At 43.6% G+C, this 13,796-nt stretch overlaps 1 protein-coding gene and 1 long non-coding RNA gene across 2 annotated transcripts in view, besides 2 other annotated features; one reads left to right on the forward strand and one right to left on the reverse strand.

Moving 5' to 3' along the window:
• TRIM14 (tripartite motif containing 14) overlaps positions 1-13,796 on the reverse strand; it is an 83,426-nt gene that overhangs the window by 4,605 nt on the left and 65,025 nt on the right. The window lies entirely within an intron of this gene.
• Positions 5,171-7,802, forward strand: LOC124902227 (uncharacterized). The gene is made up of 2 exons (XR_007061687.1): positions 5,171-5,438; positions 6,059-7,802. It is a non-coding gene; the product is annotated as an uncharacterized LOC124902227 (long non-coding RNA).
• Positions 5,204-5,273: an enhancer, noted in NCBI's record as "active region_28685". NCBI's record gives its function as "activates an Ori minimal core promoter by ATAC-STARR-seq in GM12878 lymphoblastoid cells {active_cell/tissue: GM12878}" and the evidence as "EXISTENCE:reporter gene assay evidence [ECO:0000049][PMID:35858748]".
• Positions 5,374-5,423: an enhancer, noted in NCBI's record as "active region_28686". NCBI's record gives its function as "activates an Ori minimal core promoter by ATAC-STARR-seq in GM12878 lymphoblastoid cells {active_cell/tissue: GM12878}" and the evidence as "EXISTENCE:reporter gene assay evidence [ECO:0000049][PMID:35858748]".

Consider the following 13,796-nt stretch of genomic DNA (forward strand, 5'->3'; position numbering starts at 1 on the left):
CCTTTGATGTTGTGGGCCTCGCCTCCTCAGGACACACACCTGCTCTGTCTCCTGCTTGTTTCTCCCAGGGCAGCTGCACCTGCTGTCTCCTCTGCACTGCTTAGCCCCCGGCATGCGCTCTCCTGCAGCAGTTGGGCCTATCCTCGGTCTTTTTCCAACTCAGAGTAGCTCCCAGATCCCTCTCCACTCAAGACCTCTGCTCTGAGCTTCCACATTGCCTTTCTTCCTGCCTGGGGGCAGCTTCACCTGCGTATTTTCTTTTCTTTTTTTTTTTGAGACGGAGTCTCGCTGTGTCACCCAGGCTGGAGTGCAGTGGCGCGATCTCAGCTCATTGCAACCTCTGCCTCCCAGGTTCAAGCAGTTCTCTGCCTCAGCCTCCCGGGTAGCTAGGATTACAGGTGCCCGACATCACGCCCGGCTAATTTTTGTATTTTTAGTAGAGAGGGGGTTTCACCATCTTGGCCAGGCTGCTCTTGAACTCCTGACCTCTTGATCCACCCGCCTCGGCCTCCCAAAGTGTTGGGATTACAGGCGTGAGCCACCGTGCCCAGTGATTTTTTTATTTTTAGTACAGACAGGGTTTAATCATGTTGGCAAGGCTGGTCTCAAATTCCTGGCCTCAAGTGATCCACCCACCTTGGTCTCCCAAAGTGCTGAGATTACAGGTGTGAGCCACTGTGCCTGGCCAGTATTCTCATCTACAGTTTTAGTATAGTATTTAGGGGAACAGTGTACTATTAGGTAAATAATGAGCTCTAGGATGAGGAATAAAATTCCCAGTATTAAAAGTAAAGATTTGAAAGCATTAGTTTGGGGACTTGTAACCCACAAATAATTTAGGATTTAGTCCAAATTGCAGGAAAAAAAAAACTTAAGAACAACTAACAACAGGTGTACTATAGTTGTTTTTGAAGCCAATTTTTTCTCTCTCCATTCTTCATTTTTATTAAAGATTTGTATTTTTAGTAGAGATGGGGTTTCACCATGTGGGCCAGGCTGGTCTCAAACTCCGACCTCAGGTAATCCACCCGCCTCGGCCTCCCAAAGTGCTGGGATTACAGGCATGAGCCACCTCACCCAGCAATAAGGACATCTTTTTTTTTTTTTGAGACTGAGTTTTGCTCTTTTTGCCCAGGCTGGAGTGCAATGACATGATCTTGGCTCACTGTAACCTCCGCCTTCTGGGTTCTAGTGATTCTCCTGCCTCAGCCTCTGGAGTAGCTGGGATTGCAGGCATGTGCCACCACGCCAGGCTAATTTTGTTTTTTGTTTTTTGTTTTTGTTTTCGTTTTTTTTTTTGAGATGGAGTCTTGTTCTGTCGCCCAGGCTGGAGTGGAGTGGCACAATCTCGGCTCACTGCAAGTTCCGCCTCCCAGGTTCACGCCATTCTCCTGCCTCAGCCTCCCGAGTAGCTGGGACTACAGGAGTCTGCCACCACACCCAGCTAATTTTTTGTATTTTTAGTAGAGACGGGGTTTCTCCATGGTGGTCAGGCTGGTCTCGAACCCCTGACCTCAGTGATCTGCCCGCCTTGGCCTCCCGAAGTGTTAGGATTACAGGCAAGAGCCACCGCGCCTGGCCTAAGGACATCTTTTAAAAAAAAGTTTTCCTGGCCGGGCGCGGTGGCTCATGCCTCTAATCCCAGCACTTTGGGAGGCTGAGGCGGCGGATCACAAGGTCAGGAGATCAAGACCATCCTGGCTAATCTGGTGAAACCCTGTCTCTACTAAAAATACAAAAAATTAGCCGGGCGTGGTGGCAGGAGCCTCTAGTCCCAGCTACTCGGGAGGCTGAGGCAGGAGAATGGCGTGAACCCAGGAGGCGGAGCTTGCAGTGAGCCAAGATGGTGTCACTGCACTCCAGCCCAGGCGAACGTGCCAGACTCTGTCTGGAAAAAAAAAAAAAAAAAAGTTTTCCTATAATTTTTAAATTGGAAAATTGCCTGGACACTTAGTATCTATTATTAATCTTAGATCTCAAATTATATGACAAGTTTGTTTTTCAAGCATTTATTCCATTACATTTACCTGATTATTTAATAGTTTTCCTAGATTAACTGTGATATCGAATAAGCACTAAACCACTTGATCAATAAATGCAAACAAAAATGCTAACAATTCTTAAAACATTTCTAATGTTATTTTACCTATAATGTTAAAGTCAGCTTATTTATTAAAGAGCTTACTTAGGCTGGGCGCAATGGCTCAAGCCTGTAATCCCAGCACTTTGGGAGGCCGAGGAGGGCAGATCATGAGGTGAAGAGATTGAGACCATCCTGGCCAACACGGTGAAACCCCGTCTCTACTAAAAATACAAAAATTAGCTGAGCATGGTGGTGCGCACCTGTAGTACCAGCTACTCAGGAGGCTGAGGCAGAAGAATCACTTGAACCTGGGAGATGGAGGTTGCAGTGAGCCGAGATCACGCCACTGCACTCCAGCCTGGAGACAGAGCGAGACTCTACCTCAAAAAAAAAAAAAAAGAGTTTACTTAAGTCATGCAATCTTGAAAAAGCATTTGATTAGTCTTTCTTTTTTGATAAAGTATTTGATTTAAGCACTTTTATTTTTCTTTAAGCCAGTTAATTAGAACTCATACATTTTTAGTAGTGAAACATTGTGTATACAACACATAAATACATAGACGTATTAGGCATGCCAATAGAAGTACATCTTATAGACTCATAAGACCTCTTTTTTTCCCCCTATTTAGACTTGCAAATTCTTGATAACCTGTTTCTTTACTCTAGGGAATTGTCAGCTGACTAGCCCTAAATTTGCATTTTTTTTTTTTTTAGATGGAATCTCGCTCTATTGCCCAGGCTGGAGTGCAATGGCGCGATACTGGCTCACTGCAACCTCCCCCTCCTGGGTTCAAGCGATTCTTCCGCCTCAGCCTCCCGAGTAGCTGGGATTACAGGCATGTGCCACCATGCCCAGCTAATTTTTGTATTTTTAGTTTTGCCATGTTGGCCAGGCTGGTCTGGAACTCCTGACCTCAGGTGATCTGCCCACCTCAACCTTCCAAAGTGCTGGGATTACAGGCATGGGCCACCATGCCTGGCTAATTTGCATGTTAAAGCAAACAACTCTTAGGTGAAAAATCAGATAGCAAAATTTACATCTCTAAATTCAGAGAGGAAAAAGTCTGGTGTGCTAGAGGGAAGTTAAAACTGATTTAATTGCCAGTTAAACATAAAATTATAGAAATCTATCATAAAGGAAATACACACACACAGACACACATACACACACACAGAGAGAGATCCTATAGCTTTTACTTCAGAACTCTAGCCATGAGATAAACACAAATTCACTGGCTTGCAAAAAAAAAAAAAGTTTGGATCTAAACAGTGGTTTTTATCTCAGTAGAAAAGTAACAGCAGAGTTAAAGCAAGCAGAAAAGAAAATAGAGAGAAAGAGAACTTAGAAATTCTGTGGACCTTTGGGCTCTTTTTCCTTAATGCAGTGGTCATCTTGTGCACAAAGACCATAATATTTCCATTTTACACAAATTCTAACAAGTAGAGGTGCCATAACACTAAGAGTGCCCCAAAAGGGGTTACTCTTCTTGTTTTCTCCGCCTTCTTAGATTATTTGTTTCCTTTTTTTTTTTTTTTTTTTCTTAAAAGGAGGAACTGAGCTGTGTCCTAGGGCTTTTGTGGAGTGGGTCAAAGTGTGTGCTGCTTGAGGGCAGCACTCCATAGTGTGTCACCACTGAGGTGTTACTGCCCTCTTAGCGTCTCAGTTTCTGACTCTGCAGGTCTAAGCCCCTTCAGGAGGGCTGAAAGTGCGGAGTCATCAGCTTCCATATGCCCTTCCTGGACAAGCCTTTTTAAAACTAATTTTGGTGAGGGTTCCCTGTAGGGCCGTTGCACGTCATGAGGGTCAACCCTCCAGACACTCCCATGTGGCCCCCGGTCACCCAGGGGCGCCTTTCAGCTAGCAAGGGCAAAATGCCCTTTCTCTTTTTTTTTTTTTTTTTTTTTTTTGAGAAAGAGTCTTGGTCTGTCACCAGGCTGGAGTGCAGTGGCACCATCTCGGCTCACTGCAACCTCCAACTCCCTGGTTCAAGCTATTCTCCTGGTTCAGCCTCCCGAGTAGCTGGGATTACAGGCACGCGCCACCATGCCCAGCTAATTTTTGTATTTTTAGTAGAGATGAGGTTTCACCATGTTGGCCAGGATGGTCTTGATCTCCTGACCTCGTGATCTGCCCGCCTTGGCTTCCCAAAGTGCTGGGATTACAGGCATGAGCCACCGTGCCTGGCTGCAAAATGCTCTTTCTCTTGGATGCTGAGTAAACTCAGTCTGTCATTTACCTATGAAAACAACAGTTCAGTTCCTCACTTAAATGTACACAGACAAGCCAAATTGAGATTAATTTTGGGAGAAAAAGCAATGGAGAAGACCCTTTAGAATGCGCCTCTGAGCTCAGTGTGGTGGCTCACACCTATAATCACAGCACTTTGGGAGGCCAAGGCGGGTGGATTGCCTGAGCTCAGGAGTTTGAGACCACCCTGTGCAACATGATGAAACCCTGTCTCTATTAAAACACAAAAAATTAGCTGGGTATGACGGTGCATGCCTGTGGTCCCAGCTACGTGAGAGGCTGAGGCAGGAGAATTGCCTGAACCCAGAAGGCGGAGGTTGCAGTGAGCCAAGATTGCACCACTGCACTCCAGCCTAGGTGACAGAGCAGACTCTGTCTCCAAAAAATAAAAATAAAGAATGCACCTCCGAACTAGAAGTAGGATCCTTAAACAACAGCCTCCTAAGACAGAAAAAAAACAACAGCCAAGACTACTTCCTGTAAATTGTGCTCAGCCACCCCTAACTTTGTAGCTCTCGTCCACCATTTCACATGCCAAGGTCAAATCCTCTCTCAGTACAAGGTCATCTCTGGTATCTCTTGTTAAATCAAGTTTAGCCTAAAGCTGCCTCCTTACATATTTTAAGTTCAGCCTAAAGGTTTCTCTGTACATCGTGAACTATAACAAGTGGAGGTATAAACAAACCATGGCCCACACCTGTGCCAATTACTGAGTTTTTGGCCAATCAAATGTAGCCAACTGTTTGAACTGTGTTCAAATAAGACAAATGCTGAGCTGTAACCAATCCAGTTGTTTCTGAACCTCACTTCCGTTTTCTGTACATCACTTCCCTTTTTCTGTCGTAAACCTTCTTCCACCACATGGCTGTGCTAGAGTTTCTGAGCCTAGCCTGGCTCAAAAGGCTCCCCAGTTCATGGATTGTTCATTTCTCAACTAAACTCCTTTAAATTTAATTCAGCTGAAGTTTTGCTTTCATCAGATGGGGTCAGAAACAGGATCTGAAGTAGAGCTTCTTCTAATGACCCCCAGGGGTGCTGAGTGATCAAGCAAGGTACCTGCAGGACCCATTTGTGTCCATTGATCTCTTGGAGCAGCTGGGGATCATGGTAAGTTCTTGCTCAGATTTCAGAACTCCATGGATTTGTGCTTTGAGCTCTCCGAGTTTCTTTGAGGAAATTTCTGTTCCAAACTGGGTTTGGAAATCACAACAGAAATTGGACTGGGTCCGGGATTGAATTAGATCTGGTAATTAACTGGCTTGGATCCAGTTAAGGCCTCTTACAACTGACTGGGTCAGAAAGAAACTGGTAGTAAATGGTAATATTGCAGGGGGTGTAAAATTTGGGTTTTGGAAATTCACAGGGATTTTTGTTTTTCACCCCTTTGTTTCATTTTTCTTCAGTGCTTACACAGGAAAAAAAATCATTGGCTAAGTTAATCAAGGGAACCCGAGAGCAAACCCAATATCCTAGGTAAAAATTTGATACTTAATTTCTGAAGAACTGAGTTCCTTCTGACTTATACATGCGTAAGTATTAGGGCCCTGGAAGCAGCGAAGTCTTACAGAAATGGTGAAATCGTACTAAAGGTAACTTACAGTGGAACATTCCAAATGAATAAAACTGCACTGAAATGCATTTGAAAATGAGGGCTCCCTAATTAGTCTCATCTAGGGATGTCTGTTGATATGCAGAAGAGTTTTTTTGTTTTTTGTTTTTTTTTTCAGAGATGGAGTTTCGTTCTTGTTGCCCAGGCTGTAGTGCAATGGCGTGATCTCGGCTCACAGCAACCTCCGCCTCCCGGGTTCAAACAATTCTCCTACCTCAGCCTCCTGAGTAGCTGGGATTACAGGCATGCGCCACCACACTCGGCTAATTTTGCATTCTTATTAGAGAGGGGGTTTCACCATATTGGCCAGGCTGATCTTGAACTCCTGACCTTGTGATCCACCCGCCTTGGCCTCTCAAAGTGCTGGGATTACAGGCGTGAGCCACTGCGCCCAGCTGATATGCAGAAGAGTTTAAAAAGATTTCCATATTTTTATTTAAAGCCTTTACAAAAGGCAAATAAAAAGCTTAGGCAACTAATTGATTAAAAAAAATTAAATCTGCCTTGTACTCTTTGCTGACAGCTATGAGTGACAGGATTAGGCACGTACAGGACCTTAGAACCTGGGGAAACTTTTCCCCCCAAAGGTGAAATTTAAGGGCTGATGGGACAGCTGGAAAAGGTCCCTTTGTGACCAAAAAGTGACCACTTGAACTTTTGATTCAGTATCACTGCAATGGGTGGGTGATATGGCTTTGTTGTGTCCCCAACTAAATCTCATCTTGAATTGTAGCTCCCATAATTCCCATGTGTTGTGGGAGGGACCTAGTGGGAGAGAATTAAATCATGGTGGCGGTTTCCCCCATACTGTTCTCATGGTAGTGAGTAAGTCTCACGAGATTTGATGGTTTTTATAAGGGGAAATCCCTTTTGCTTGGTTTTCATTCTCTCGTCTGCTGCCATGTAAGACGTGCCTTTTGCCTTTCACCATAACTGTGAGGCCTCCCCCACCACGTGGAACTGTGAGACCATCAAACCTCTTTTTCTTTATAAATTACCCAGTCCTGGGTGTGTCTTTATCAGCAGTGTGAAAATGGACAAATACAGTAAATTAGTACCAGTAGAGTGGACCACTGCTGTAAAGATACCCAAAAAGATATTCAAGCTCTAACAGCCTGGGACTCCTTGGGTAAAACAGGAGGCACCACAGAGCCTGTTTTGGGAAAAACCTCTGTTTTTCTCATGAAACCCCAGGAATTGGAAGCAGTTAGAGCCCTCTCAAAATCTAAGGCTCTGTTCTTTTCTGCATTGCATTATCTGATATTTTTGAGTTTTGGGGGTACCAGAAGTTACTTCACATTATGAGAGAAATTTAGTGTGTAATAGCTAGGTAGGAAATACAGTTTTGGGGATAGCTAATGGCAATTATGGGGGAATTCTCAGCTCTTTGCATGTTCGGATCAGAGAAGCATGCTCTTGGCCACCTAGAAAGCATGGAAATGAGCCGGGCGTGGTTCCTCATACCTGTAATCCCAGCACTTTGAGGGGGTCAAGGCAGGTGGATCACAAGGTCAGGAGTTTGAGACCAGCCTGGCCAATGTGGTGAAACTTCATCTCTACTAGAAATACAAAAATTAGCTGGGCGTGGTGGCACATGCCTGTAGTGCCAGCTACTCAGGAGGCTGAGGCAGAAGAATCGCTTGAACCCAGAAGGTGGAGGTTGCAGTGAGCTGAGATCATGCCACTGCACTCCAGCCTGGGTGATGGTGTGAGACTCCTTCTCAAAAAAAAAAAAAAAAAAAGTATGGAAATGTCACCCACACCCCCTGACTGAGAGACAAGACTCCCATGGATGATGGGCTAGTCACAGAATGGGCTGGTTAGCTTTGGATTGCTTTGCAATTAAATGCATGGTAAAATCATTGCACTGTCTTGTTCATAGCATTTCTCCTTTTGGGATCTGAGATCTGGTCTAAAAATGAAACCCTTAATATTGGGGGAATCCATTTTACCTTCCAGGTGTGCCTGCTTATTAGGTCCTAGAAACTGCTTTCCTCACCCTGTTCTACAAAGGGCTCCACTCTAAAGCCAGTAATCCAATTAAGAAATATAAAAACTGGCAAATGAAAAATCCTACAGCTACTGGATCTTCTTCCATCTGTCTGTCTGTGTAGTTATATATGTGTTGTGCGTGTGATGTTTATATAAAAGAGCTCTGATTAATTGGCTTCAAGAAAAATAAGTACTTAAATATTTTGAAAGAAAAATAAAAACTGTAATGCCTTTTAGTTCACATGACTTTAGTAACCTTTGGGAAATAAAAACAATTTTGAAGATTATTGGTAAAATAAAGATATTTAGTCTAATTTAGGCAGGTCAGATATTAGGTTTGCTAAATGCTTTAAGGTTATAAACTGCTTCTTTGGCTTTTGAAAATCGTTCAACTTGAGTAAAGGAATAGGCTGGGCATGGTAGCTCATGCCTATAATCTCAGCAATGTGGGAGGCCGAGGCAGGTGTATCACAAGGTCAGGAGATCGAGACCAGTCTGGCCACATGGTGAAACCCAGTCTCTACCAAAAATACAAAAATTAGCCAGGCGTGGTGGCGGGCACCTGTAATTCCAGCTACCTGGGAGGCGAGACAGGAGAATTGCTTGAACCTGGGAGGCGGAGGTTGCAGAGAGCCGAGATCATGCCACTGCATCCCAGCCTGGGTGACAGAGCAAGACTCTGTCTCAGAAAAAAAAAAAGAGTAAGGAATAAAGAGTGGCTATTCTGGCCGGGAGCGGTGGCTCATGCCTGTAATCCTAGCACTTTGGGAGGCCAAGGTGGGCAGGTCACCTGAGGTCAGGAGTTTGAGACCAGCCTGACCAACATGGAGAAACTCCATCTCTAATAAAAATACAAAAATTAGCCAGGCGTGGTAGCGCATGCCTGTAATCCCAGCTACTCAGGAGGCTGAGGCAGGAGAATCACTTGAACCTGGGAAGTGGAGGTTGCAGTGAGCCAAGATTGCACCACTACACTCCAGCCTGGGCAACAGAGTGAGACTCTGCATAAAAAAAAAAAAAAAAAAAAAAAAAAGAATGACTATTCCATATGCAGAGCACCCCCAAGGGCTGCTGGCTGTCCACTTTAATGATCATTTCCTAATTATATGCTAAAGAAGGGGTGGGTTATTCATGAGTTTTCCAGGAAAGGGGTGGGCACTTTCTGGAACTGAGAGTTCTTCCCCCTTTTAGACCATATGGGGTAACTTTCTATGTTGCTATGACATTTATAAAGTGTCATGGCACTGATGGGAGTGTCTTTTAGCATGCTAATACATTATAATTAGTGTATAATGAACAGTGAGGACAACCAGAGGTCACTCTCATTGCCATCTTGGTTTTGGTGGGTTTTGGCTGACTTCTTTACCACTACTTTTTATCAGCAAGGCCTTTGTGACATGTACCCTGTGTCAACCTCCTGTCTCTTCTTGTAACTAGGAATGCTTTAACCTCATGGGAATGCAGCTCAGAAGGTTTCAGCCTTATTTTATCTAGCCCCCATTCAAGATGGAGTCACTCTAGTTCAAATGCCTCTGCCACAGTGATAAAAGAAAAACTTCAGCTGAATTAAGTTTAAAGATGTTTGATTGATCAATGAGCAAGTCACGAATTGAGCAGCTTTTTGAGCCAGGGTAGGCATAGAGACTCCAGTGCAGCTTTGTGGTAGAAGAAGATTTATGGACAGGAAAAGGAAAGTGAAGTACAGAAAACACAAATGAGGTTTAGAAGCAACTGGATTGCTTACATTTCAGCGTTTGCCTTATTTTAACACAGTTGGAACAATTGGCTACATTTGATTGGCCCAAACTCAGTGATTGGCACAGATATGGGCTACAGTCTGTTTACATCTCCACTTGTTGTAGTTCATGATGTACAGAAAATCTTTAGGCTGAACTTAAAATATATAAGGAGGCAGCTTTAGGCTAAACTTGATTTAACAATTCCCCCCTTTTGATCATTTTCTCAATTTTGAGAGATTGACCAAAACTTTAGTCATTCATGTCACCATCCCAGCATAAATATACTTATTTGGTCTTGAAACCCACTGGGAAACAGTAGAACAGTGAGTTTTGCAAGGTGGGAACAAGGACTGAGTAGAGGGTACCTCCTTATGCTGGAACCTCCTGTTTACAGAAGAAAAACAAAACCTGGTTTGTTCTAGGACCTATGTGTTCCTTAAAGTCTTAGTATTGCTATGTCACATTTAGCACGAGTGACTCCATTTTGGTTTGGTTTGGGGCCTAGTGCTCATTCCAAAACAATGGCCTCCCCTAATTTTGTTTTTAAATATTCCCCCTTTTTGGTCACATTCTCCCTTAGGTGAGAGTTCTTACTTAGGTGAGACGGTGACCAAAACTTAGGGCCTTAACGCCACTCTCAGTTACCATCATTTTGGGTTTCTGGTCTCAGCGTGTCATTCATAGGTTATGGTGTCCTCATGGTTGCACATTTCTTTTTTTGAAACAGAGTCTACTCTGTCACCCAGGCTGGAGTGCAGTGGTATGATCTTGGCTCACTGTAACCTCCACCTCCTGGGTTTAAGCGATTCTCATGCCTCAGCCTCCTGAGTAGCTGGGTTTACAGGCAGGCACCGCCACACCCAGCTAATTTTTGTATTTTTAGTAGAGACAGGGTTTCACCATGTTGGCCAGGACGATCTCGAACTCCTGGCCTCAAGTGATCCACCTGCCTTGGCCTCCCAAAGTGCTGGGATTACAGGAGTGAACCACCACACCCGGCATGGTTGCACATTTCTTTCAGCTCTTGTCATTCCAACTGAAGAGAGACCGTTTGATATTCTAAAGATGGCTGTGTGCAAACACTTAAAACCTTTGAGAGAATACAGCACACCAGGGAGACTACTATTATGACTATCGCGAGGATAACACCAAGTGTTTGGAGTATTCTCCTTATCCAGGGTCCCCATAAACCAAACCACCTGAAATTAAATAGATCAAAGAATGAGCTAGATGAAGAGTCTACTCGCTTAACTAAGCAGTCTTTCCACTAATCCCCTACAACTGAATCTCTATAATGCCCGACGTGATATATTTATCCATAGGCCACAAGTGCCAGCAGCTGCACAGATACTTCTGTGCCAGTAAGTAATCTAGAGCAATTCCATTATTTAGCATAACTTTCATAAGATAAAGTCTGTTGTGGAACCATAGACTTTACAGTAGAACCTGCTATAGAACCTATCATGGGGGATACATTTCTAATCATTGCCCCTTTTACTCCAAACCATAGAAAAAGGACTTAACAAATGATGCCCTTCTAGAGGAGTGAAGGCCTCCTGGCAATGATTTCTTTAACCCATGATGTGGGTTAAGAGGAGTGAGCCAATGTTCTAACAAGCAGCCACAGCTGGAAGGCAAAAACAGATCCCCAAAATGAAGGGTCCCATTTTTATACTGGATCCTGGATCCCCAAAAAGAAGGGAAATGCTACCAGAGAAGATAGTGCAATGCTTCTACTGTGGATTTCATTGCAAGGCAACCCAAAGCCAATCAGCTCATTTTGTAATCAGCCCATCTCTTATGGGAATCTCATATTTAGCAGGGGTGAGGGGGTGGGGTGGAGATGTTTCCATGCCTCTAGGTGGTCAAGAGCGTGCTTCTTTGATCCAAGCGTGCAAAGAGCCAAGTATCCCTCCTAACTGCCATTAGCCATCCCTTAAAATATATTCGCTACCTGGTTATTACACACCAAGGCTAAAAGCTCTCTCACAATGCAAAGTAATTTTGGACAACCTGCCCCCAAAGTCACAAGTGTCAGGTAATGTAATGTAAAACAGAACAGAGCCTTAGACTTTGAGAGGACTCTATCCTCCTTCAATTTCTGGGGTTACATGAGGGAAACAGAGGTTTTTCCTAGAATGGGGTCTGTGACACCTCCTCTGTTTTTCCCCAGGAGTCCCAGGCTGTTAGTAATTATCTTAGGTTCTCTCATGTGGACCTCAAGAATGGCAAGAAGACAAAATGGAGAAAAACAATTCAGTTGACTGAAAAGAAAAAAAAAAACTTTAATTTTCCTTCAGAAAAATAAGATCCAAGAAGAGAAAAGAAAACAAACATAAAGGCTTTTTAAATATATGTACAGTTTGCATATCCACTTTTTATTAAGCTGATTTTAACCATATAGCTCTTTTTTCTTAAAAAAAAAACTGTTAAATTTTTGTTTTGTTTGTTTGAGACAAAGTTTTGCTCTTGTTGCCCAGGCTGGAGTGCAATGGCATGATCTCGGCTCACTACAACCTCCACCTCCTGGGTTCAAGTGATTCTCCTGCCTCAGCTTCCCGAGTAGCTGGGATTACAGGCGTGTGCCACCACGCCTGCCTAATTTTATATTTTATTAGAGATGAGGTTTCTCCATGTTAGTCAAGCTGGTCTCAAACTCCTGATCTCAGCTGATCCACTCTCCTTGGCCTCCCAATGTGCTGGGAATACACGCGTGAGCCACCGTGCTCAGCCCAAAATCTTTTATTACCAGACTAGCCAGGACAGCCAATATTTCTGGCTTTTGAATTCTACCACAGGTAACCTCCCATGTGAAATTAATACATTTTAACTAAGGTCATAACTTAACCATGGATGCATAAAGTGTCTTAAAGAGATGGTAAGCAGTTTTTGTTTTCGTTTTCTAATAATTAGAGTCTCCCCAAAGGTAGTTCAGCAAAAGTAAGAATAAAGACAGAAAACCAGAATCGGTCCATGGGGAAAAAGAATCAATAAATGGCAAAAAGTTACACAAATAACAAACCAGAAAGGGCTCACTCCCTAAGCCCCCTGAGCCAAGAATTGAACCTGGGCCACCACTGTCAAATGCCAAAGCCTTAGTACTGAGCTACCGCATTAAGCACTTTCTATTGCTCTTCCCAGAAGGAAGATTTTGAGCTTGCGAAGGCTTTTAACTGCTCAAGATAATTTTTAGGGCTACCTATGACATGAACCCCAAAATTCCTGTCCTCTGGATGGCAGAATCCAAGATAAAGTATCCTCACATGGTCACAAGGTTAAGTTCAAGGACATAAAACAACATGAGAGAGAAACTTCATCTGGTATTGGTTTCAGGGACTCACAGAAAAGTTTGTAAGTGACCAGCCTGCTGAACTGGCTTTGGACAGTTGGCTTATATGGCTCCTAAGTCCATGTTCTATCCTGTGATGCCCCCTCCATTATAGAACAACACAGAAAAACAAATTCATAGCACTAAGTACACCAGATTTTCTATAGCCTAAACTAGTCTCATAAGTCTTTTTTTCTATTAATCAGACCTTTGTAGAGGAGACAGTGATGTTTAACATACACACACACACACATACAGGCCAGAAAGTTGGCTAATAAGTTGTTACCCTTTTTGCCGGCATACCAGGTTTCCAGGTTCCCTTTCTCTGCAGCTTCCAGAAGAACGGAGCGGCCTTTGATAACTGTTCACTATGCTATAGCTGTGGGGGCCAAGCCCACTACAAAATAAATAAATAAATAAATAAATAAATAAATATCATCCTTTTCTGTTTTATGGAACCATAGGCAAAGCTTCTCAACTTTGTAAGATGCTGCCCGATGGGCTGCATGGAGAACCGAATTAACATTTTCCGTCTCAGCTGAAGCAAAATACACATAACAAAACAGATAGTAGTCACCTCATTGGGCACCCAGTATCACCCTAGCAAGGCTCAAACTGTCTTCCTTTGGTCCCTATCATCTTTGATCCACTCAAGGTGGGGAGGGATGGCATCAATGAGTAGTCTCTGGGCAAGACAAAGAGCAGAGAGTTACCCCTTAACAGTCAGGCCTGTTAAGCTTTTTTTTCAGAGCTCACTGAATGTGACCATACTTACAGAGGGTTTTCTGAGTTAGGCC

The sequence above is a fragment of the Homo sapiens genome, chromosome 9 (assembly GCF_000001405.40).
Source record: "Homo sapiens chromosome 9, GRCh38.p14 Primary Assembly".
Taxonomy (NCBI): Eukaryota; Metazoa; Chordata; class Mammalia; order Primates; family Hominidae; genus Homo; species Homo sapiens.